Genomic DNA, 26,978 nt, shown 5'->3' on the forward strand with positions numbered 1-26,978 from the left:
TATCATGGTCAGAGACAGAATTACATTCTTGTGAACATTATCCCATGGGTCATTTTAATTAGATTTGACCGGAAACAGTTTATAGTAGTGGATGATTAACTTATATTAAACTAAACCATTTACTTTCTTATTTTGGCTTGAATATGTAAAGTTAAAATAATTTATATTAACAAGTGATTTTGAAAAGTCATATTTAGTATTTGTTAGTGACTAGTAGGTTTCTGTGTCAATTGTTTATTGAAAGTAATACATGTAAAATAAAATCAGAGGTATCCTGTTTTTATTTAAATTTTTATGTAGTTTTTTTGTAATCTAAAAGTCTTAGCTAAGAAAAATAGAGCCCATAAATATAGTTTATTGGCTTGGACAATAAAAAATCAATAGAAAGAGGTAGCAGCTCATAGTTCTCTTACCTTCTGCTACCTACACAGCCCATCACAACCTTTTCACATCATTTTCCCACTGGAAAAGCAGAAACAAGAGTGGAGTTTTATATATTTCCTTCTTTGTTTATACATTTACTTTATGGAATTAAGCAAAATGTTTGAAAATATGTCATTGGGATAGATGTGATGTAAAAACTTTAATTCTAATTTTGAGCAATTTTCATTTACTTTTATCCATTTTCCATTTGATTTTATCCATTTTGTTCTTTAAAAAGCAAATCATTGGAATTAAAATCTGTAAAATGTTTTATGTAGATAGAAATGAAGAAATATTTCAAGTCTAATTTAAAGATTTCCATTTGTTTAATATTATAAATGAAACACAACATGGTAAGATTATAGGCTGGTCTTAAAAATTCACATTTGCTATTTATTGTTACTAGTAGGTAGTTTTTCTTCTATTTTTTCTTCACAGGAAAAGACAATTTCTCTCTGATTCAGAATCCTGAAAATGTGATCTCCCTTAAAAAGGTAGGTGTATGTGCTTTTTAATTTGTGACTAAAAAAATTTTATCTTGAATAAATTACAATCCAGATGATTTAATCGAGAAGCAATTTTTTATGCCACTAACACGTGCCATTGTGAATTGAATTAAAACCTCAGATTCATCTTTCTAAATTCAATATTTAACTTTGCCAGTCTTTTTAAAGAATGACTATTTTGAGACAAAAGTTGATGTCTACAGCAGTCAATGTATGTGATGTATAATAAGTGAATGCTTCTCAGCAGATCCATTTTTTTATTGCAATACATTTATTTCAGCTCATCTTGATGAAATGTGTTCCTGTCTTTTTCAGTGGGTGACATCTTTCTAGGAAACCAAGACAGTGTGGAAATGTAAAATGGTCTGTGGCCAGTAAAAAATGTGATATCTTTCATTTTGTGGTGTGAGATTTCTTTTTCAGTGTGTGGATTGTGATTTGCTGCATACTTTGTCAGCTGTAATAAGGTTGGGGGCATTCTTGGGTGTACGGTATCTTTTTGTAATCCATACAGAGCCTGCAAGAGGTTTCCAAATTTCATGGAGTGAACTCATACTAGCTTAGGAGCCACTTTGGCTTTCTTTTTTTTTTCTTTTCTGAGGCAGAGTCTCGCTCTGTCACCCAGGCTGGAATGCAGTGGCGTGATCTTGGCTCACTGCAACCTCTGTCTCCTGTGTTCAAGGGATTCTCTTGCCTTAGCCTCTGAAGTAGGTGGGTCTATAGGTGCCCGCCACCACACCCAGCTAATTTTTGTATCTCTAGTAGTGATGGGATTTCACCATGTTGGCCAGGCTGATCTCGAACTCCTCATCTCAAGTGAGCTGCCTACCCCGGCCTCCGAAAGTGCTGGGATTATGGGTGTGAGCCACAGCCTGGCCTTTTTTTTTTTTTTTTTTTTTGGTTTTTATCTCATACTTTTTATTCTGAAATATGGACTGGCTCTCCTGTTCTGAAAGGTGTAGTTGGGGACTTGGTTCTGACTAGAGCCATGCGTTCAGGGAGTGCCTGTGGAGACTGGGAAACCGCTAGGCATGAGTGGTATGGTGGGTCCCATGGGGCTGTCACCCCAAACCACAGGACTGCCTCAGAGATTTGGGGGGTGTTTTAAGGTCACAGTGGTCAAATCTGACCTTGTGCCATTATCCTTTCATGTTATCCTCTAGTTGGCTCTCAGACTGTAAGATTTTACCTTTTAGATCATTTCTGGGCTGAGAAGTTAGGGTATAGAAACAATTTGTCCTGATTTAATTACAATAACAAATTCGTGATGCTGATGGCGTCTTTCCTCATTCTTCTGCAACCTCACAAGAATGACCATTCACCTCCAGCTTTTAATTACCCATCCAGCTAGCTCCCAGCCATCTCTGCCCTGGGAATGGCTTGGTTCTCTCTGACAGAGCTCACCAAGCAGTTGCTCACATGTTACTTATAAAGCACCCACCTCTAGATAGCAAAAAGTGAAGACTATGGTCCATACTATATCATTGGAAATCTAGTGTGGAGAACGAACATACATTGATTTCCAAATTGGAAATAGAGGAGTTGAAGCTGAGTTGTAATGTTCGGCCCATTTAAGATAAATAGAGCCACCCGTGTAAATTTGGCATTTGGACATAAATAAACCCTATGAGAGTATGCTAGCAGAGTGAACTTACAGAGACCAGAGAGATTGTTGCGAATTTGCTTCAAAATTGGAGTTCAAAAACCTGCTGTATGCAATTATTGCAGTGAATTGACTGCATAATAGTTAAATAAATGTTTTCTTTTTTTTCTCAGATTATTTATTTAAATGTTGGCTTCAAAGACGATATAGAGAAACATGAGTTAATCAAAGACAGAGAGTGAGGATAATCTTTGATAGAATGATGACTGCAAAAGAGCTGTTAAGTGTGATATAAATGCTGAGTTATAAAAATACACTTTTAGGAAATCCAAATTATTAAACCTTGATCATCTTGAATAATAATTGGACTTAACTGCAGCATAAATCATCTGCATCACGTATCTGCTAGCAGATATGTATAGAAAAAATTCGACTTTCAACTACTAGGAAAGTTGCTTTTTCGCATTTATCCAACATTAATCTAAAATCCCTCTTGGGAATAAAAACTCACATATCTGCAAGGTCGCCAGACAGTTAGGAGCACATTCTGGAAAAGGCTCCTCAGCTGCATGGGTGACAGAGCCCAGGAGGCTGTGGAGTATTGTAAAAGTCCTGGAGTATGTGGCAATTAATTCGAAGGATGTCTCATGTGTTAAATAGTCTCATATATATATACACATATATATACGTATATATGTTAGTCTCATATATATGTATATATACATATGTACGTATATATGTACATATATACATATATACGTGTGTGTGTATATATATACATATATGTGTGTGTGTGTGTGTGTGTGTATATATATATGAGACTATTTAATACATGAGACATCCTTGGAATTAATTGCCACATACTCCAGGTCTTTTACAATACTCCACAGCCTCCTGGGCTCTGTCACCCACGCAGTTGAGGAGCCTTTTCAAGACTGTGCTCCTAACTGTCTGGCGACGTATATATATATATGTATGTATATATACGTATATATATATGACTATTTTAAAACTCTGTATCATTCCTGCTATAAGGAAATATATATGAATATGAAGTGTTACTGAATTAAGAGGTGCTTTTTTATTATAATGTATTTTCTTAATCAATAGAAATTAAATCTACTTTATACTACTACCATTTATACTACTATTATAAATGGCTAACAATTCATTTTGACATTAAACATGGTTCTCATAATCAAAGAAGCTCATAATCAAAGAAGTTGAAAGTTGTTGCTCTAGAACATGGGGAAGGTATCTGAATCATGTTAAGATTGGATCCATGATTCGAGCAAGACAGGGCCAGAATGTTTTTAAATAGTCAGAAGAAAGAAATACTCAGATGTTTATTTTATTAGATATTAGATTAGGTTACTAGGGGCAATAGAGGAACTTTCTTCTATAAACTTTTAAACAGTCCATTTTCTTGTATGGTAGCTTGGTTAGATGTATTCTTCAGTACGAAAGCTAGCAGCCACATGTGGTCATTTAAATTTAACCACATATAGTTATTTTAATTAAGAAAATTAAAAATTGAGTTCATCATTTACACCAGTCACAATTCACATGCTCATTAGCTACATGTGGCTAGAGGGCAGCACATAGAACATTATCATCATCATAGAAAGTTTTTTTTTTTTACAGTGCTGGGGACAATTGTCATCACTAGGACTGCTCCATGCCACAAGTAGTACCAACACCACAAAGCTATTCCTAGGGGCTTTGCCCCTGGGGTCCTGGCATGGAATGGAGAAGACAAAGCCTGGTTTACCCTATAAATCGTGGGAGATTTTTATGGACAGGAGTCCTTAGTGAATGCGTGGAAAAGAAAATTGTTTCCCCATAATCTTCCAGCTCCCCTCCCTTTCATTATGGCCCATATCCCCTGACAAGCGGCAGGGGTCCATGTGCCAGTTTGAATTAACATTTTATTGTGTGTACAGTAGACATTTATCCCCATTTGGGCTACCTGGTATCTGAATCCTTTTCCTGAATTTGGGGGCATTCGTCATTGTGTGAAGCTGGGTGGATAAAAGTGTCATTTCTTTTAACTTCCCAAGCAGAAATGCCCACTTTTGTGTTTTTCTTGATGTCTGCCAGCAAGTAGGCACACTCATGGGACTTCAGGTTTGTCACATCTGGGACTGGGGCTCTGGCGAGATGACTTAGAGAGGCAATGGTTTGGAATTCTGCCCATCACTGGTGCGGGCAGGAGGACCATGGTGGCAGGTCCAGAGCCACCTGTGGTGACCAGCACCAACAGTGCAGTAGGTGAAACAGAGTTAGTTACTGGGAACAAAAGCAATACTAATGGAAACAGCCTTCCCATGAGTATAAGGAGCTGGACTAGTCTCCCTTGTTCTAATGGACATCCTCCTTACGTGGAATAATAACAGGACAATTTAATTTTATTTGTTATTGTTAATTTTTTTTAGAGACAGGGTCTTGCTCTGTTGCCCAGGCTGGAGTGCAGTGGCATGACTGCAGCTCACTGTAACCTCAAACTTCATAACAGGAAAATTAAAGAAAAATCAAAAGAAACCACTTAGCTGTAACACAAGGAAGATATGCTGACTTGTTTAATGGAAAGGAATATACTTTAATGGAAGAATACATATATCAGAATTTCAAACATCCCCCATGGATTTAGTAATGGAGCAACTCCATTTTTTGTTTTTGATAGAGAATTGTGTTTATAATTCTGTTTCTTACATGCACCATGTAATCAAAACTGTTGCCTGTGAATAATCACTCTTTTTCTGATTCCTACTTGGCTAGGCTGGTATGCCTGTTTTATTGCTTTTCCAGAACAGATAGACTCACATATTGTTTCACGTTATGTTTTGAGTTCTTAAGCATATTGTCTCTTCCTCCTGTGCGCTGATTCCCACTTTCGTGCACACAGCAGCTGTGTGACCATCTGCATCATCTCGACAGTGCCACAGCTTCCTCCGTAGAATGCTACGGTGTGTCGCCCGTGGAGGGATTCCTCATCCCAAGCATGATTTTTATGTGGGTAGGCTGCCCGCCTGTGAGGTGAAGTTTCTGGTGGCCCATTTCTTCATATTTCATGATAATTGGTCAGAGGCTTGCCTGGCAGTGGAACCATCACCCCAGGGACAGAGGTTGCCTGCTGTCCATCATCACTTATGCTCAGCCCTCAATAGAAAAGAAGTATGGTGTGAAGCAGCCGCCCAACCAGAGAGACTGGTGGAACAGCCTCCATTTGTATGTAGGTGAGCTACATGATTTGTCCTCACCAACACAATGTGAACAGTCCTGTAGGGCAAATCTGGGACAAGGCGTCGAAACCCCAGGCTCTATCGTCCTCTTTCCTGTGGTTAGATTCAGATGACTGGGAGGCCTGAGGGGATGGTGAGAGACAGGATCAAGTGAACCTGAGTCTAAATCATTGCGTTATGGATGGCTCCTCACTATTCCTATTCAGGAATCCACATGTTCCTGAACAGAAAATCTTTAATAGTCATATTTGCCGTCTTTCCCAGTAACAAACTCTATACAATGAAAGATGGAGCATAAATTATGCGAGCAAGAAAGAGAAATGAGGTTCTATTATGTTAACTCTTTATGTATTTTCAGATTTATTCATTGCAGAGGCTGACATTACCCTTGTACACCCTCATTCAGCCACATAAATCTCATTATTTCTTTTTATCAGGTATTAGCTGACATTTTTTCATTTTTCAGTTGCCCATTATGTGGAATCATCTTCTTGCACTGAGTAGTAGCATGGCTTATACAAGAGTATGATTATGGCCTACATACATTTCCCTACATATTGCCTAGTGTTGCTTACAGATAGGTCTAAGAGTTAGAGGAAAGCTTAGTGCCTCATTGTAAAAACAATTTGCCAGTTTTGTAAATCAGCTTTTTTTTTTTTTTTTGAGATGGAGTTTTGCTCTGTCACCCGGGTTGGAGTGAAGTGGCATGATCTCGGCTCACTGCAACCTCTGCTCCCTAGGTTCAAGTGATTCTCTTGCCTCAGCCTCCTGTGTAGCTGGGATTATCGGTGCCTGCCACCATGCCCAGATAATTTTTGTATTTTTAGTAGAGACAGGGTTTCACCATGTTTGCCAGGCTGGTCTCGAACTCCTGACCTCAGGTCATCTGCCTGCCTCAGCCTCCCAAATTGCTAGGATTACAGGCATGAGCCACCGCACCTGGCTGTAAATCAGAGTTCTGAGTGAGTTTTTAATCCTCTTGGATCACTACAAAGATTGCGGTAACTGAGAATGCAAGTTCAGTGACTAATTTTGCTTCATAAATGTATAGAAAATGGTTGATGGTCTTATTAGAAAACATTTCCCAGGCTTAATAGTTCTGTATAGATGATAGAGGTAGCCAATGAAGATGGAAAGAGGGAAACAATTATACAAAATCATCTTAGATTACAACAGAAGGAGAAAGTATTTGATACTCATTTAAAAGCAGCAAATGCGGTGGTTCGAGATATACATTTTGCTTTTGGCATGACATGTAAATGATTGCTTGGCAGAGATGAAGAATTAGGGATTTAATGTTTTTGCTTTTTAGTTTACTGTGTATTAACTAATAACATTTTCTTCTTCTACAATATGGAAATAGCAACTGTATACCTGTAAGGTTATTAATGGAGGTTTTATGCATGCTGATATATTTGAAATGTTTTTAGTTCTTTAGGAGAAAAGTGCTTAATAAACAGAAATAACTACTTATGTTAACAGTTTATTTCTGTTGACTTAATATACCTACTTTTTCCTCTTAATAATGCCAGAGCATATTTGGGGGGGGGCTATAGCTTGAACAAAAATAAGACATTATTAATATCAGCACTTTGTAACCTGAGACAGATGATTTAATCTCTCCTGCCATGTTCTCTGGGGTTTAAAGGTGCTATTCAGCAAGATTATTATGAACACCAAAAAAAGTCTGCATAAAATAGCTGCTTGGCTGTCACTTCCATATAAGCTATGAAGGCAATGATGACAATTAAGTCTAGGACTTGTAGGAACCACATATACTCACTCCTACTGCCTTTGTTCTTCTTCATGTCTGCTCTGCCATTGTACTTTTTTTTTTTTTTTTGAGACGGAGTCTTGCTTTGTCTCCCAGGCTGGAGTGCAGTGGCGGGATCTCGGCTCACTGCAAGCTCCACCTCCCGGGTTCATGCCATTCCATTGTACTTTTTAACACATTGGCATATACTCTGTGCTGACTACTCCAGTATGGAGTGCTTCTCAAACTTTTTGGTCTAAGACCCTTCTATACTCTTAAGAATTGTTCAGAGTTCTAAACAGCTTTTTAACATGCAGCTTATATCATAACTATTTGCTATATTAAAAAGTAAAATGGGAACATTTACAAATACTTATTTTAAATAACAGTGATAAACCCATTACATGTTAACGTAAGTAAGAATTTTTTAAATGAAGAATTACTGTATTTTTCCAAACAATATATGTTTGGTGAGAAGAATGGCACCATTTAATATTTTTGCAAATCTCTTAAAGTCTTGCTTAATAAAAGATACGTGAATTCCCTTATTTGCTTCTGCAGTTTATTGAGATATTGAACATGATGAAGGCTCTGGAAAACTCTTTCAGAGAGTGAGAATAATAAAAGGAAAATAATTTCTTAGTATCATTATGAAAATAATTTTGACCTTTCAGAACCCTGAACTTGTCTTGAGCACAAAATTTGAGAGTGATTGGTCTACGTTAAATCCCCGAAGGTTGTCTTTAGAGTATTTCCAGTTTTGCCACATTTACTACTTTGTACTAGAAAATCCCTTTCCCATCCAAAATATTAGTAAATAACTATTTCTATCTAGTTAATTCTTATTCAGAGAAATAACTAAGAGGCTAAATTATAATTGTTTAATTTTAGGCTGCAATTTTCCCATTTATTAATTGCATCTTCAGAATATGCTGGCATCTTAACCCATTTCCCCCATTCTCACAGCTGCTTTTAAGTCATTTTTCTCATTGATAAGCACTATTATGAGAGCCTCTAAATTGGTCTCTGTTCCAGTTGCTATTGCTGTGCAACAAACCACCGTGAAACTAAGTGCTTGAAACAGTAACAACCACAAATCTGCAGTTAGGGCAGGGTTTAGCAGAGAAAGCTCATCTCTGCCCCTTATGGCATCAGCTGGGGATATTTTGACTGCATGCCAGAGGATCCACTTTTGAGATGATTCACCTACATGCCTGGCAAGTTGATGCCAGCAGTTGGCTGGGAGCTAAGAACTAGGGATTTCCGTCATCACCATGTGGGCTCTCAATGGACTGCTTGGTCTTCCTCATAGCATGGTGGCTGAGTTACAAGAGTAAGTTTTCCAAGAGATAGAAGTAAAAGTTGTCACTTTCTTAAGGTCTGGACATGGGAACTGGTCTAGTGTCACTTCTGCTGGATTATAGTCAAGCAGCCACAAAGCCTAAGTTCAAGGAGTGGGAATACAGACTCCTACCTCTCAACTGGAGAAGTGTCAAAGAATTTGGGGACCATGTTTTAAAATTACCATACTCTCTCTGCCTCAGTCCTTCTCACCCGCAAATTGCCCAGTATTTGCATCTTGTCCTCAGATTCAATTTCCTAGAACATAGCTCTGTTTGTCCTGTAGCTCCCCATTTTCTACCTAAGAACAAAATTAGTCTTGCATTCAGAACAGTCCATTTATTAGTTTACCCTATTCCTTCTTTAGTATACCCTGCGTTTTAGCCCAAATTTATCTGGATTTTTCTTCTTTTGCCTTTGATTATACTTTTTTTCTCTCTTCCCAGAATATTATCCCTTTAATCTCTTCACATCCTAACATTCTGTCCTCATAATAAATGCTACCACTCACATGAAGACTTCCTTAAGCTCTCCATCCTTCTGTAGTATGTCTTTCTGTTACCTCTCATCATACAGTTTAACTGTACCATTTTAAAGACCTCCCAATTTCTGTCTTGTACAATAATATATGTATATTTTATATGCTCTACTAGATTTTATGTTCCTTGGAGGAGATCCATATTTTTAAATATAATATTAATCTTTAGTTGCTCTGATATCTTGAGATATATGTAACAAGTGCTTGATTTTTAAAAAAATGAGTGAATGAAGATATGAATGAAATTAACAGAGTATGTTTAGACTCACCTAAAAAGCTATTAGAAGTACTATGATTGTTGATTAAAATTGCTGGTTAGCCGCAAACTAAATAAGTAAAAATTGATGATTTAATTACCAAGCATAAATATTAGACAATATTATTAAAAAGAGATCACATCCAAAATAACAGTACAACCATACAAAAGTTTGGAATGACTTTCCTAGAAATGTATGGTAGGAACTAAGTAAGGAAAGCTACAAAACTGAATTGTAGGACATAAAATGAGTTTCATATTAGTGGAGAGAGATTCTTTGTTCTTGGAAAGCCAGATTCAGTGTAGTAATACAAAAATATCAGATTTGTTCATTTGAAGTGTACACTCAGTACAATTTCTATCAAAACTAGGGAACTTGACAAAATAATTCCAAAGTGCATCTGGAAGTATGAACCTATTAATACTCTCAGAATTACAAGAAATACTTATGAGGGGCACTTGGCATCTTAGATATTAAAGAATATTTTAAGTCAATGATGATTGAACAATGGTATTGATACAGGGATACATCAATGAGTAAAATATTAAAGAACCTTGTTTTACATACACATGTATGGTAATTTAGTATATGATAAGATTGGTGTTTCAGATTGGTAGGAAAAAGATTAATTACTCAATAAAAGGTATTGGGACACCTGCAAAGTCTTCTGGAAAAATAAAGCAGGGTCTCTACCACACTGCTAATATAGAAATAATTCTAGGGATCAAAATTATACATATAACAAGATAAACTGTAAATTTATGATAAAAATCTATGGATAAATATTTTTACAATTTATGTGTATGTGGGGAAGTCATCTCTAACTAGAAACCATGAAGGAAAGGATTTAAAAATGTGACTACATATACATATGTTTTACATCTTTATTTTTCAAAATGTCAGCAACCATCTCAACTTGTTTGAAGGACAGAGCATATACCGGGAAAACATTTACAAACAATATGATCAACAAAGGCTGATATTTCCAAAGTATAAAGAGCTTTTAAAATAAACTCTGACAACCTTATCAGCAAGATGAACATTTAATAAAGTTGTGGAGTTAAAATAATGAATATGGGGCCGTCAAACATATAAAAAGATGGTCAAATCTGTCAGCAATCAAAAGTGCAAATTAAACCAACAGTGGTATATTATTAGGTTGGTACAAAAGTAATTGTGGTTTTTTGCATCAAAAGTCATGGCAAAAACCGCAATTACTTTTGCACCAACCTATATTTCTCGGTAACTAAAATGACAAATAAAAACAAGCAAAAAGTTCATAATTGATGATGCTGTGGGCAAACAGTGTAGTTTTTTTTCAAACTGCACTGAAGGGCCATATTTTCCCAGTCTGTTTTTGACAGATATGATTGTAACATACAGTAAAAATAAGTAGCCAGAAATCAAAAATCACAGATATTCGGAATAAAATATCAAATATGACACACATGCACACACACACACACACACACAAAATGTTCATCAGACATAAAATTAACTCTCTCAAAGTGCGTTAAATATTTCTAAATGTTTACTCTCAATTTCTGGACCTATCTCAGTGGACCAGTCAGGAACATTTTGCAGTCTAGCACCATTCTATGGACCACTCTTAGAATAGCACTCCTTTAATGTGCCAATGGGAACATAAACTGGGTCAGACTTTGTGAAGGGAAGATTGGCAGTATGTATAAGATTTTAAATGTGCAAACCCTTCTATTTCTAGGAATTTGTTGTAAGGCAAATTGGATAGTTGTGTAAGATTATTTATCCTAACATCTTTGGTGATAGAGAAAAAGATGAAACCTAAATATCCTCCAGTAGGGTTATTGGTTAAATAGTTATGGTAGTCAGACTGTGGAATACTATGCGGTCATTAAATAATTAAGCAAATGTATATTCATTTTTCATTATAGAAAATTTCAAATATACACAAAAGTAGAATGAATGCCTAAACCATCTCCATATGACCATCACCCAGCTTCAACTGTTACCCAGTCATGGCCAATCTTGTCCCTGTCCCTTCGATTAGTTGTGTGTTTATTTGTGTGGGAAGATTATCTTGACCTTTTGTAAAGAAAAACCAGGTTATAGTGGAGCATTTATTTACTCGTTCAACAATTATGGATTATACTCTTATGTCTGTTGTGGTACTATTCTAGGAGCTGGGGCTTCAGAAGTGCATTAAAGAAGTAAAAATCTCAGCTTGCAGCTTAAATTCTAGTGGGGAAGATGGAACAACCAACAGTCAAAATTTTAGCATATTGTTACTGATTATCATTACAGAGAAAAGGGGGAATAGGGAGCAGAGGGTGTGTTGTCATTTTAGAAAAGATTAACAGGGAAGCCTACCCACCCCGGCCTGAGATGGTGGTCTTTGAGTCAAGGCCCTAAGTTGCTAAGGAAGGATTACATGTCATCTGTGGGGGGCGACCTCCTCAGGCTTTTGGGGGTGGGAGGTAGCAAATGCCAATGCCATAAGGCAGAGGTGAGCCTGCTGTTTCTGAAGAAGAGCAAGGAAGCCCCGGATTGAACATGAGGAGAGTGCTGGGAGATTGGGCAGGAGGGTGGCGTAGGGAGGAGGGTCTTATAGTCTTCTGTGTGGACTTCGACTCCTGCTGTAAATGGAATAGGGAGCCTTTGGAGAATTGGGACCCAAGAGTGCTGGGATGTTACTTTTGAGAAGACTCACGTTGGCTGCTGAGTTCAGAGTACACTGTGAGGGAGCACGTCCAGAAGAAGGAGAATCAGGAGGTTATGTTCCTGTGTAATCAAGGGAGATTGGGGGATATTGATTTTAACGAGGTTTGGAGGGATGGAGGTGGTTTGAAGAGGTGAGATTCTCGATCTCTTTTGAAGATAGAGTCAGTAGGATTTGATCATGGATTCCACGTAAGGTATGAGGAAGGAAGAGGTGGTGAAGGGGATTCCAAGGTTTTGTGCCTGGGCAATTGAAAAGATGGAAGTGCTATTTGCTAGAATGGGGAAGACTGCATTATGAGAGGTTTGAATGGAGAAGATCAGGAGTTGGTTTTGGATATGTAAAATCATGATTCCCATTAGGTGTCCAAAATGAAGACAGAACCAGGAGTTAGTTGGATATTAAGAGTCTGGAATTCAGATGGGACTAGGCTGAAGATGTGTAAATGTGGGAGTTGTGAGTCTGGATGAAGTCACTAGAAAAGTGAATGTGGACAAGAAGCAAAGACAAGACTCAGAGGACTGAGTCTAAGGGCACTTAGAGGGTGGGGAGATAGGGAAGAATCAGTGTTAGAGATCAGGGATAAAGTGAGCTAATGAAGTAGGAGGAAAACCAAGGGCATATGGCGTCTTAGAATCCACCTGCTGAGTGTTTCAAGGAGGGAGGATTAATCAGAGGGGCTGTCAAAGAAGATGAGGACTGAAATTTGACTGAACAGGAGGCTGGTGCAAAAGTTGGATCAGCACAACATGTCAGCTTGAATTCCTTGCTGAGGTATGAATTGTGAAGCATGGAAATGATGATGATGATAATACTAATTATTATTAAGAATTCAAAAGGAACAAGATCTTCTTTTTTTTTTTCAAGAATGCCAAATATATTCCCTACCATTAAAATTGGATATAGCAGCCAAAAAAGAAAGAAAAATGAATTAAAATTACTGAAAGACAATTTTACATGTCCTGTCAGATAGTTTAATTTAAATATAAGCTGGTTGATCCAGGTGCAGCTGCCCAAACTTGGAATAACATGGGGGAAAAGCCTAGTGAGAAAGCAAAGCCAATTGCAGGAGAGAGATACAGAGTGATGAGAGAGAGAGGAAGAGAGAAAACAAGAGAGAGAGAGAGAGAGAGAGAGAGAAAGAGAGAGAGGAGAAAGGGGTAGTTGAAGTAGGTTGCATAGGAAAAACCAGGTGCCTGGTAAACTTTATTGAGTCCCAGAAATGTAAGGTGCCCCCCACCAAAAAAAAGTGTTAGCTGCTCTTAACACTAACTTTAGCCTGAATAGACTTGAAAATGTATACATTTTTCATAGATGAATACTTTCCCTGATACTTAAACAATATAGCACGATCTTCAGAGCAGAGATGTGAATTTGTATCCCTGGGTCTAAAGTATTGAACATTTATAAAATGGTGTGGCTATAAGAGTACCAGAATTGTGCTGGAGTTTCAGTTTCTTCTTTAGGCAGTTGATTTGATTAAAACAAAAGAAAACAAAAATAAACAACCAACTCACACTTCTGGTCCTTTCTCTGGAAATTATGAATAAAAATATCAATAAAACTTTAAAATAGAATTTTAGCAGTCTCCCTATTTGAGAAGGAGAATCTCACAATTTTCACTGGTAGGCAATTCATGTGGGATTGTAATGCATGAGTGTGGGAAATAAATAAAATGATTGCTTTTTTTTTTTTCGTAATGGCCTAAAATGATAGCTTCTTGATTTAATAAACCTTTCCCCTACTCCCTACCACCACCCCTCTGCAACTTACCTACAATACACATATTCTAGTGCTTATCAAATTATAAAAGCTGGGCTCATGAAATAACAGGAGGATTTTTGTTTTCTGATATCAGTCAAAAATTGTTTGGAAGACAGGCAGAACAAGTTAAAGTGAAAGCCTAATATAGTGAAGGGAAAGATTTGTGTGCCAGCCACAGATGGACTAAGTTCGTTCTCACATAAATATTATCCTTTTTTTCTTGCCAGGACTGAACTGCAGTCATTGTCTTAATTAACTCAGGGAGTTTTCAGTTACAGCTTCAAAATCTCAGTCTTCTGGAAATTGTCATCTGGCTTTGTGTTGTCCCTAAGTAGCTGTGTGACCTGGAGGGAGGCACTTAACCAATTCAGGCCTCAGTATTGGGAGTCAAGGGTATGGAGGCCCAGTTTAGCTTTCTTCTAGCCCTGATGTTCTGTGAATCTGTTATTCAAGTTTATGGACAAGTTCCCACAGAGAAGGTTAGTAGAGTTTTTTAAAATTATTATTATTAAGCAATGGGTATTTTACTAAACAGTACTCAACTATTTTTTGCAAAGTGTTAATTTGTAGAACGTTTTGAAACTCCGCATAGAAAATGAATGCACAGGTCAAGGCTAACATAGCCTTTCAGCCATATTGTCTGGAATTGTTTTTTTTTTAAAACATATAATAAAAATTAAAGTTGAAGAAGAAATGCCAAAAATATATTTTTGATGGAAAATAACAACTTACACTGATTAGCATTTATTTCAATGAAATATGAATCTTTAAAACATAGGATTTAAACATCTTTCAATGGACATATACATTATTGTCTCAGATTCATAAAAATGTCTTGTAAGCTATCATTTCTCCTCTATTTACACTGTCTTTTGTGGGGGAAATAAAAAGACTAAACAGTGTTTAGATTATCTCTACACATTTTACATTTCTCCCAAAGGCTGCTGTGTAATGGTTGGCATCTGAGAGAATAAACAGGAAATTAGTGAGGCTGAGGTTCTCCTTCATCTTTTGCCAGGGCTGGACTCCTTGCTTCATTTATTTTCATAGGACACCAGAAATCTGAGAACAGTATTTAAGCTGACTACGTTTCTTTTATAGCTGGCCTTTTATAGATGGTCTACATGTGGCAATCTACAGATTGCCAGATCTTTCTCCTTTTCTCCAACTTAGTGTGTTGGCATTTGAAGTACCAAATGTCCTCTTCACCAATGAATAGTTTAGAGGAAGATGAACAGTGTAGCCCTTTAGGCATCGTAAAATACTGTATTTTTTTTCATAATCATGAAGGTAATATGTTTGTTATAGAAAATTTGGAAAATTAATATAATCCAAAATCCTACAACCCACAAATCACCACTTTTGATATTGTACTGTTGTTCTTTTTGGTCTTTCATCAATTTTTTTGACTACTTGTATTCATTAAGCAGGTATTCAATTTATTATTCAAACTGTTTCCAAGGTGAGCTGCTAAGAATGTTAATAGGTGTTCTGGGTCACTGGGGACATTGGGAAACTTTCCATGTCATATACGTTTGGGAAAATGCCAGATTGAACGATGTTAGACTTAGATTTGTCACAGACACCCCCCTCAGGGATGAGCTTCCTGAAAGGGCTCTATGACTCTTCTCTACTTGGGAAGGTACATTGGGCAAAGCCTGGAAGTTATTGGACAGAGAACTGGCTTTGGCCCTGCACCCACTAATGTTGTAATGTGGTGTTCTTCAGATGGCAGTGTGGATCTTATTTGGTTTTTGTTTGTTTTACGAAATTGAGATCTCATGCTTTTGTAACCTCCTTTTCCTACTTAATATATTATGAATGTTTTCTACTTTAAATCTGTTTTTCAAAGAGTTGCTTTCTCTCATTGTTATTTTTGAAAATATTCCATTTATGAAAGTTCCATTTATGAAGCTGGGGCCTAGCCCAGGTGACAGATCATTTCAGTCTGTGGGGATACTCTTGAAAGGTTCTGTCTGGGTTATAAAATGTTTATACTCATTTGAAATGTTTCCATCTTCCACCCACCCATTCTGACAAACCTTTAATTTTGGACAACTGCTGTTGAGGCTGTGGATTCACAGTTCCCAAAGCCACTGCTAATTTGTTTGCTTTGGAAAGACCTGACAAAAATAGACTTCTTTTAACACAAATGGATAATTTTCTCCCATTGATGGGCAGTTCATTTAAGAATATTTTATTTATTGTATTATAAAAATAGCCTCTTTGAGACGAATGGCCTGCTCCAAGTAACTCTCATAAAACATAGGGATTTTCTTCCATACAGAAATAATTACTTTGATTTAAAATGGGATATTGCCTTCTCAAAGTATTTTTTCCACTATGAAGTATATAGAAGTATGTATTTAATGTGTCTTAAAGTCCACTAGTGGAAGTATTACTATCACCTTTTTTCAAGGCTCATTACCTAAAATTTTTCTAAAATTAAAAGCAAAGACAAATATGCCTTACATTTAGACCAAATTAAAAAAATGGATCTTTATTTTGGATAGTCCCTTTACCTGTGCTTTACTTTCATTATCACAAAAATATCCTTAACTCTTAGCATTTCATAACAACTGTGACCAATTTTTATTATGTAGTTGGAAGTGTTAAGAATCTGAAGAGAAGGCCTTTTACAGTGATTATCTTTGTGAACAGTGTTTAGATACGTTTTGGAGACCTGTTGAAACAAATACCCTACTCTTTTTTTTTTTTTTTTTGAGATAGAGTCTTGCTCTGTTGCCCAGGCCGCAGTACAGTGGATGATCTCAGCTCACTGCAACCTCTGCCTCCTGGGTTCAAGTGGTTCTCCTGCCTCAGCCTCCCAAGTAGCTGGGATTACAGGCACGGGCCACCATGCCTGGCTAATTTTTGTATTTTTGTAGAGATGGGGTTTCACCATGTTGGCCAGGCAGGTCTCAAACTCCTGACCTCAAGTGATCTGCCCACTTCGACCTCCCAAAGTGCTGGGATTACAGGTATGAGCCACTGTGCCTGGCCCAAATACCCTACTCTTTATTGATTGTCTCACACTGATTGATAATGGTCAGTTCCTCAGGCATACCATATGTCTTTAAAATATTATAAAAAACTTTGTAAAGTCTTTTGTTTTATAAACAGCTTATCTGGGCTAGGCCTGGAGCATATTCATAGACTGTCCCTTTATGCAATTCCTGGGCAAGTGCATGGCTTTGAAAAAGACTGGAGCTGAAAAGCATAATGTGTACTTTTGGCCTGGGGATTCTTTATAGAGAGTATGCAGATTTCCCCAAGGAAAACTGATTTTGCATGCAAAAGCTGTCTCTATAATTATAACAATTTCCTCTTGCCCTTTTTAAAAAAAAATTCAGCTTCTCAAATTGGTACGTATAAAATTTTACCCTTTCCACAAAAGCAGGCCTTGCTGAAGGAACTGACTGCTGAAAAATCTCATGCCAAGTCCCTAAAGCAGCTAAAGGGAGACATTATAAGTTTTGAAATGCAGCAGTCTAGGAGGTGAAGGAATGGCGGTCCTGTGAGCCTTGACATCAATTTATGTGAGTGTGTGTGCAAGGTGCCATCCCACAGCTTATACTTAGAAGAAAAATGGACTCTTTAAAGTAAAGCTTGTTAATTGAGTTTTTCTTTTTCTGAGGGTTGTGCTTACATGGTTTAAATTGTAATAAAAATTAAAATGCTTGAAATGTTTTAGAGTCGGAGCCCTTTGCTGCTTTAGCTCATGGGCACCTCCAAGAATGCTTCCTCAGATAGCAGCACAAAACACTGGCAGTTCTCCAAGAGAACATTCTTTGAGAACCTCACTGTGATTGGGAAAGGGAACTTCACATTCTGATTGTGCAGAAGTGCCCGCGGGATGTGTAGTCTACATTCTAAGGTTGCTTGTTGTCTTCCATGGAAAGTGTTATTTTATTATATCTTTCAGATATGTTATAGGTGGGAAAATCCGAATAACTGCTTTTATCTTGGTCAGGAAATACAGGGAATTGGTGTACTGGGGAAGATCACATATTACGAGACACACTTTAATTACCTTTGTGGAGTATTACTTTTCTAATAACCAAACTTGTTAAAATGCTAAATTTTATTTGTGTTTTAATAACCCAGATTGCTAAATTGCTAAATAATCTAATATACTAAATTGCTAAAATAATGCCAAACATAATTAAACTTTCATTTGGTTCTGAACAATTTTCAGTGTCCCCAAGTCATTATCAATATTGCATTAATGTAGAAATCTAGTCATTTGGCGTCCCTATTAATAGAATGCCAAACAAATTGAGTCAGACATATATACCTAGTGTTGTGTTGCATGCAGCAGGGTAGAAAGGGAGTGCCTAATCAAGCTCACAATGTGATTTTTGCTCAAGTTGTGATGTCTGGCCAGGCGCAGTGGCTCACGCCTGTAATCCCAGCACTTTGGGAGGCTGAGGGGGGCGGATCACTTGAGATCAGAAGTTTGAGACCAACCTGGCCAACATGGTGAAACCCTGTCTCTATTAAAAATACAAAAATTAGCTGGGTGTGGTGGTGCACGCCTGTAATCCCAGCTACTCGGGAGGCTGATGCAGGAGAATTGCTTGAACCCGGGAGGCAGAGGTTGTAGTGAGCTGAGATCATGCCATTGCATTCTAGCCTGGGGAACAGAGAGAGACTTTGTCTTAAAAACCTAGAGGGACTTACTCCTGTTGGAGGCACACATTTCTAACGAGATAATTTGGGATTGACATAGGACTGTGCTTAATAAGGTGTTCAGAGGGGTGGTGCTGATGCTAGGAACGGAGAAGACAAAGTAAGATGATGGCAATGTTGAGTTAAGCTGGGCAGTGACCTGATTTGTTTATCATTTGGAGGAGAAGTCAGAAAAAAAAAGAAACAGCCTAGGTAGAGGATTAGAGATGAGTATGAATATTGAGTGTGTCAGGGAGGGTAATGATAGTCTGAGCTCACTGCATTAAGATGAAGTGTTAAACACTAATAATGTTGAAGCTTATTCCAAACCCCTAGCTTTTCCCCTTTTTCCTTCTAATTACTACTCAGCAAGGTAATGAGTGATGGCTCAAATGTGGGATTAATCAGGGGAGGAAGACTATCAAGTTCTGTTCTGTTTGTGCATCCAGGGGAGAAGCTGCTTAGAGCAGTAGCCAGTTGTTGTCAGCACTCTTCCCCCAACCCCAAATTAAAGGCAGCTTTCTGGAATCATATTATGGCACCTGGGGAGGATTAACATGGCTTCCTAAGATGCCTGAGTAACGACATTTCTTCCTGTCAAAGCACACTGCTGTAAAAGAACACACTTCCTGATGATGGCCTTGACCGACCTCACGTTTAAGGGCCTGTGCACAGTTCTGTTACCTGGAGTAGGTGATCTGTGACACCGGCCTTTGGTTGCTGTGTTTGGCCATGAATCCACCCTGATGACTATGAACTTCACAGAGTAATTGGCCAGGATATCCCTTCCCTTACTGTCATACTTGCTGAGGTGTTAGTTCTGCAAATAGTATCCTTTGTGGATCTTTGTGTTTGTTTGAGTAGGTGAAGGACTTTATTTTATATTCTTTTTCTCTAGTTACTTCCTTATTTTAATAAGTAAACCTTATTCTAAGGGTTAGTTTCTATGCTGAGAACAGTGGGTCTCTAGACTACTTAAAATTTTCCATAAATCTTACGTTATTCATTTTGTAAATCCTGAATAAATTGAAACGAGAACAGTGCTGATGGTCCTCATAGAAACTGAGGTGGAATGTGTACACATTTTAAAATTTATTTAAATGAGGTGCTTCTAGGTATAACACATATATAACCCTCCCTATATATTATTTAATAATAAAAATACCTCTACACTATAGTGCTTTATGAATAGATTTTTAAAACTTCTTCTTCTTTTTTTTTAATACTTTAAGTTTTAGGGTACATGTGCACAATGTGCAGGTTTGTTACATATGTATACATGTGCCATGTTGTTGTGCTGCACCCATTAACTCGTCATTTAACATTAGGTATATCTCCTAATGCTATCCCTCCCCCCTCCCCCCACCCCACAACAGGCCCTGGTGTGTGATGTTCCCCTTCCTGTGTCCGTGTGTTCTCATTGTTCAATTCCCTCCTATGAGTGAGAACATGCGGTAAAACTTCTTATAGTATAATTGAAATGTAAATTTAGTGTAATTAATATGAATTTATTCATTTAATTTGGATTATTGATGGGCTTGATTCTTCTTAATCCTAATGAATACTTGCAGGCCACAGGTAGTTGTTTAGCATTAGCAAAGTTTATCTTAAATTATTTCATATAATTATATTTTAAGTATGATTTTAGGCTCTAGATTTGGCCTTTTTCAAATTTGTAATATGCTTTATCAAACATTAAACACCATTTTAAAGTAATGTAACAGGAATTTGGGAAACAGAAAAACATACCTCTTTTATAATTTTAGTACTTTAACATAAGAGCCAATATCGTTTTTTGTACATTTTGAATCCTCCACATGGACCACACATATTTATAGCTAGAAATGTGAATATATATATATAATTTTGTATTATTCTTCACTTATAAAATTAGCATTTCTGATATTGTATCCGTGTGTGTGTGCGCGTGTGTGTGTGTGTGTATGGCTTCAAATCTTTTATGAAACAAAATTTAAAGTTATGAAAATATTAGTGCCCAGTTCAATTCCCCTCACTCCACTCCATTTCACATTCCCCAGAAGTAACTTTTCAGAATTCTATTTTTCTTTTCTGTTTATGTTTTTATACTCTTGTCTCATGTATGTGTCCCTTATATGTACGTATAAGATATATATGTGTGCACATATATATACATTGTGCATGTACATAGATACACACATGCAGAGTATTGTTGTGTATTCTAAAAATGTACATATCTGCAACCATTTTGTCTGCCCAGTTCTATTCCATTAGTTTTGCCTCACCTATCCTTATATCAGTATCACAGAGCTAAGACTAGGATGAGGCAAGCAAGGTGCGCTGGACATAGAATTGGTGCAGACATCTGCCCTTAGGCTGTAGGAGCCTCGGTTGCCTTCCCTAATCTCAGCCATGACAATAGCTTTATAGAAACTTTTGGTATGTGGTAGGTTGAAGTCTTGGCTATTTTTGGCCCCTTTACCCTTCAAATAAATTTTAAAAAACAGCTTGTCAAGTTCCATGAAAAAAAATCCCAGTGGAAATTTGACTTGAATATATGAAATTTATAGATTAAATGAGGGTGGGGAATGGACATCTTTAACATATCGAGTCTACCCACCTATGTATATGCTGGCTCTAACTATTGATTTAGGTCATTTTTAATGTCTCTCAAAAATTACTTTTTCTATAACATCCTGCATGTTTTTTATTCAACTTATTTCTGCATGCCTTAGAGTTTTTGTTGTTGTGAATGTGAATTTTTAAAACTGAATTTTCTAATTCATTGTGGTTGGTGTATACGAAAGCGTTGGTTTTTGAATGTCCCTGCTTTTTCTGCAGCCTTGCTTAACACTCCAATTTGTCCGAATTTGTCTACAGATTCATTTGGATTTCTTCTGTAGAGAATTCTATTATCTGTAGTTACTTGGTTTTCATACTTGTAACTTAATGACTATATAATACTTCATTCATCATTTACTTTGCTGTTGAACACATGGGAAGTTCCTGATAGCTTCTATTTTAAATACAATTATAGTGTACACCTTCATACATTTTTTCACCTTTCCAGTTATTTTATTGGGATTCAATTTTGTAATTTCTGTCAAAGGGTGTGAACATATTTTTACAGCTCAGGATATGTGTTGCCAAATTGCTTTGTAGAAAGCTTTAAATCCTTTTACACTGCCACCAGTAGCATGTGAGAGCATCAGTTCAACCACATTGATTTGAATGATGGAAATCGCACCTGGAATGCTGTGAGTCTTCTGACTGATTTCCTGTGTCCATTCCTATCCGTGCTTAATCAGTCCTCCACACAGCAGCCAGAATTATCTTCAAAAATTTAAATAAGATTGTGTGATTCCCCTGCTGAAAAATCCTCCAATGGCTTTCCTTTAGATGTAGAATTTAGCCTAAACTTCCAACCAAGATTCCTATATTCTGACCCTTTTCTTTCTTCTAACCTGCTCTGCTTTTGTTCTCCTGTGCCTCGGCTACACTGGCCTTCTTGCTGTTGCTGAAACTTGCTTACCTTATTCCTACCCCAGGGCCTTTGCATTGGCAGCTCCCCCTGCCTAGAACATTCTCCAGCTCATTATACTACTACCTCTACCTATCGTGCATTTTTCTTGCTCAGCTGTCACTTCCCTAGAACAGACTTCCGTGGCTTCCCTTTCTAAAATAACCCTTTTTGGTCACATTCTTTTCTCTTACTTTATTTTCTTTACATATTTTTTATTATCTGAAATTATATAAGCTTGCTTATTATTTATTTCTTTGTTTACCATTGGCTTCTTCAAGTAGAATATAAAGTCCTCAAAAAAAAAAGCTTTGTCTAAAGTGTTGACTATCATTATATATCAAATTTTCTAGTGGCATCCTACAAACATTAAAAGAAAAAGGTTACATGTGCACATTGTGCAGGTTAGTTACATATGTATACATGTGCCGTGCTGGTGCGCTGCACCCACTAACTCGTCATCTAGCATTAGGTATATCTCCCAATGCTATCCCTCCCCCCTCCCCCCACCCCACCACAGTCCCCAGAGTGTGATATTCCCCTTCCTGTGTCCATGTGTACCCTAAAACTTAAAGTATAATAATAAAAAAAAAACAACAAAGTGCTTATAAAATATGAGAACAGAGCAACGGTAAGTGCAATCTTCTATAAACAAAGAATTTAATAAAAGAGACGGAAATAAAAATAACTTTAAAAAGTTAAAAAAAAAGAAAAAGGACAAATTAATATTAACTTTTAAAGCATGACATATCTAAAATATTATTTTCATGCATAATCAATATAAAAATTATCAAGACATTTTACATTCTTTTTTTAATTAAGTCTTCAAGATCTGGTGTGTAATTTACACACAGCACATCTCAGTTTGAATGAGCCACATTTCAAGTGCTCAGTAGCCACATGTGATTGGTTCCTTCCATATGTGACAGTGGAGGGCTAGAACAGAACAATGCCTGAGACACAGGGAAAAATCATTAGAGACTCGCTGAATGGGTGAACAAGTGAATGAATGAATGAATTTTATTTAGCATGTGTAAGTAATGAAAATCCAAGTCAAATTAGGAGTAAAATCAAGATCCCATAAAAAGTGATTTATTGTTAGAGAAAAGTGAGGCATTAGCACATATCCTTTACTGGAACACTATTGTGGTATCTGAATGGGCTCAGTTAACTGTCACCTTTATTAAGGCTCTCATGTGCTCTGAGCATCTTGCTAGGATGAGAAAAATAAGATGAAATTCTTAAGATATCGGAAGTCTGGTGAGTTGATAAGAACTTGATGCCTAACTGTGTTGTACATTGTACGTGTTACTGAAACAGCTGTGGGCATCATGAATTAATTTTTCCCAGGCTTTTATTCATATTCAAAAGCTTAGACTAATAGTCACATTTTATTAAGTACATTTTATGGGCCCTTAGCATTTTGCTAAATGCTAAGGGAGCAAGTATTTGCCCTCACACTATTTTAATGTGTATTTCTCTAGGTTACATTCTTAACTTACCTGCACTATCCTCCAAGCATAATTCTTCAAATTTTCAGCTGTATTGAGATTCTAAATGGACTTCCAATGTGGACTTTTCTTCGTTTTCAGCTTATAATTGGCAAGTTCCCATAGGAAAAAATCATTATTGGTGCTATAAAAGTACTTCTTATCTGTCACATTTGGGAAATGAAAGTTTTGTAAAGGTCAAAAGAAAGTGTGCCCCCAATTATGATGAAGACTTGTACATCATCACAAATAGTTTAATAGCTTGGAACTTATCTTAGTCTCTCTTACAGTGTATAAAGAGAAAGGAGAAAAAAAAAAAAAACAAAGTAGTCACTCCATAGCAATTTTACCATACAGTTTTAGGAGAGATGAAAAGGATCCCATCGAAATCATTTGATCAACATCTATCTATATCTTCTTTGTGGTTTGGAACTGTTTAAGTTATATAAGCCTACAAGTTTATTAGTTCACCTTTATTAATTTGTCAAGGTTAATGACTGCATAATGAGTTGAAGATAATTAAAGATTTGTTGGCAACCATCTGCTAGTGTTTACGCAGTACGGTAAGTTTTATAACTCATCTTGTAATGTTTCCTAAGGAGATTCTTTGCCACCTTACTAATTTTAAAAACACAAACCACGCTGTTGCCTTAGGCAGTGTAAGAATTCTTTTCCTTAATCTTTTAGCATATGACAGCCTATTAGGAAGATCAGATGATACACCTCTAAGAAGCCGGGAGTGTGTTTGCAGACACTGTTGAGAGTGGAGTGATACCAGCCGGTCGGACACATGACCTGGCAGTTCCCCTTTCTTTCAGCAATCTGCTTTGGCAGCCAGTCTGCCTCGGGCATCTGTGCTAATTATTCTGCCCCAGCAGCAGAGCTGTGGGCACTGCTCTAAGAAGGATCCCTCCTTGCTCTCCTTATGTGAAGGCCCATCTGCGTTACGGAAGTGAACAAACTGACTGAGTGCAGTCTTCTCCTGAGTGCCTACTGTGTGCAGCCTCATTATTAATAGATAATGAAGATAGCCATGTCAGATTAAAAGGAGGGATTGGGAACAGTTCAAGGCCCTCTCTGAATGTCTTATTCAAATTCCCATTTCATCTGTTCTCCCTTGACACGCTCCTTTTCTCAAACTCCTGAACTCAAGTGATCCACCCACCTTGGCCTCCCAAAAGTGCTGGGATTACAGGAGTGAGCCACCGTACCCAGCCGACCTGCTCCTTTTCTAAACCTCTCTCTTCTTCCTTTCTCTCTCTTAGCAACATCTTGCCATCTCCCCTTCTCTCTCTTTATAGTGAGTAATTACTAGTTGCTCTGTATTCTAGTTCCAAAATCTCTCCCATGTTCATCCTCTTGGATCCATTGTCTGGGTCAATACTACTTCTCATCTGCAGAGTGTCATTTGCTTCCTAATGGGTTTCCCCATATGTTCCTGCACTCCCTTGACCCAAGCTCACCTCCACTCACCTTCTGGAAGCACCATTCTGATCCCAAGGTGCCCTGCTGCAGTCTTCCATGGGTTTCCACGGCCAGGTGAATAATGTCAAAATTCCTTAACTAGACCGTCAGGAGCCTCCTCCTCCATGCTATGAGGTCTCCACCTCACTCCCAGCCTTATCTGCCTTCCCTGAACTGAATGGTCCCTAAACAAAATGAGCTGCTCTCTTTTGGTGTTTCCACCTGCTCTTGAGGTCCCCACCTGAGCTGTCCTTTGCCCCACATGTGTTGTTGTGCCATCACAGCTCTCAGCCCCAGTGCCATCTCCCTGAAGCCCTCCTCACACTGGAACCTCACCACACCCCTCACCGGGATGATCTACCCGTCTTGACCATCTCCTGGCTCTTTAGATCTCTCTGGAAGGTCTCAAAGCTTTTCCCTTTGTTGGATTTTATCCACACACCATTGGAGGCCCTACCTGTCAATTTCCAGAAGGCAGTGCGCCATTGACCCACTTTTGTGGCCACCACAGTACCCAGAGAGCACTTGGAATTCACCTAACACCTGGATGAATGTTTCTTGAATTTCTTAGTCCCTGATATGGAATATTCCTTGCTCTCTATTTTTTTTAACTAGTTTTTTTGTTTAGTAACCATCACCCACAATGACCAGAATTTTCTCTCCTTGCTTCTGGCTTCTCCACAGGGCTCTGAACGCCGCTTACGTGTCGTCCCACCTGTTCTCTATTTTTGCCCTAATTTCTCACCATTTTCTGTTTCTTCTGAGTTGTCCATTCTCCACCCTTTAATTTCAATTAGTCAGTCGTAAATATTTGTCCCTATGGCAGGACCAGCTTTTGTCTGGTCTAAATGTAGGAAGTGGCTTGTTTATAATTTCCTAGCACAAGTAGGCCAGTTACTGAACACACCGATATAAAATGTACTACTAGAATATTCAGAAATCCTTTAGGGAGAATTGCTGGTTTTCCTGTGAAAGGGAAAGACAAGTCTTCAGTGGAAACAGCACTTTAATATCAAGTTTTGAATGAACTGTATTCATTTCATTCAAAACTCAGCTCTGACAAATATGGGTAAAGGACATCAGTTTCAGAAATGCAATGCAATGCTTGCAATTATGGAAATTATTTCATGTTTTCCAATTGCTTATATTAGGTTGATTATATTTAATGTTTATTCCTGACACCAAATTTATGTATTTTAGTTATAAAATTTGTGAATTATAGCTGCAAAATATTATAGTTTTCAAGTCGAATTATTACCAGCGGCATTCCTGTCAACTTTGCTTTCCTCAGGACTTTCAAATAGAAATGTTATTAAATATTTCCTTTTTGTCAGTGTTTGCACTTGAAGGTAAATTTAAACATGAGTGTGTTGTTTGGTTTCTCTCATTGTGGATGGACTAGCTAGTTTAATATTTAATGGCAAGTTTTGATGTATACTGATAAGAAGAGAGACAAAGAAACATTATTGTATTTAAATATTATCTTTCTGATTGTAAAAGTGGTGCTTGTCGTAGATAACTCTGTAAATTCAGGAAAACATAAAAATAAAGATCACTGTTGTTTTACCACACACAAAAATTACTATAACTATAACTCGATGTTATATACATTACCTATTATATACTGTATTTTAAAATAAAATTGGGATTATATTGGACATACAATCCTGTTTTTTTTTCTGTTAACATTATATTGTGATTACGTCCTACGTGATTTTGTTTTAAACAT

At 37.3% G+C, this 26,978-nt stretch overlaps 1 protein-coding gene across 10 annotated transcripts in view; it reads left to right on the top strand.

Annotated features, from left to right (window-relative positions):
• The window catches only part of PLCB4 (phospholipase C beta 4), a 412,131-nt gene that overhangs the window by 26,748 nt on the left and 358,405 nt on the right, over positions 1-26,978 (top strand). For 5 of the 10 annotated variants that reach the window (XM_024451898.2, NM_001377134.2, NM_001377142.1 and 2 more), the window contains exon 2: positions 862-917. The exons of the other annotated variants lie outside the window; for them this stretch is intronic. The gene's annotated coding sequence lies outside the window, so the exon portion shown is untranslated. The remainder of the gene's footprint in view (positions 1-861; positions 918-26,978) is intronic. 10 annotated transcript variants of the gene reach the window in all.

Source organism: Homo sapiens, chromosome 20, assembly GCF_000001405.40.
Source record: "Homo sapiens chromosome 20, GRCh38.p14 Primary Assembly".
In the NCBI taxonomy this organism is placed as follows: domain Eukaryota; kingdom Metazoa; phylum Chordata; class Mammalia; order Primates; family Hominidae; genus Homo; species Homo sapiens.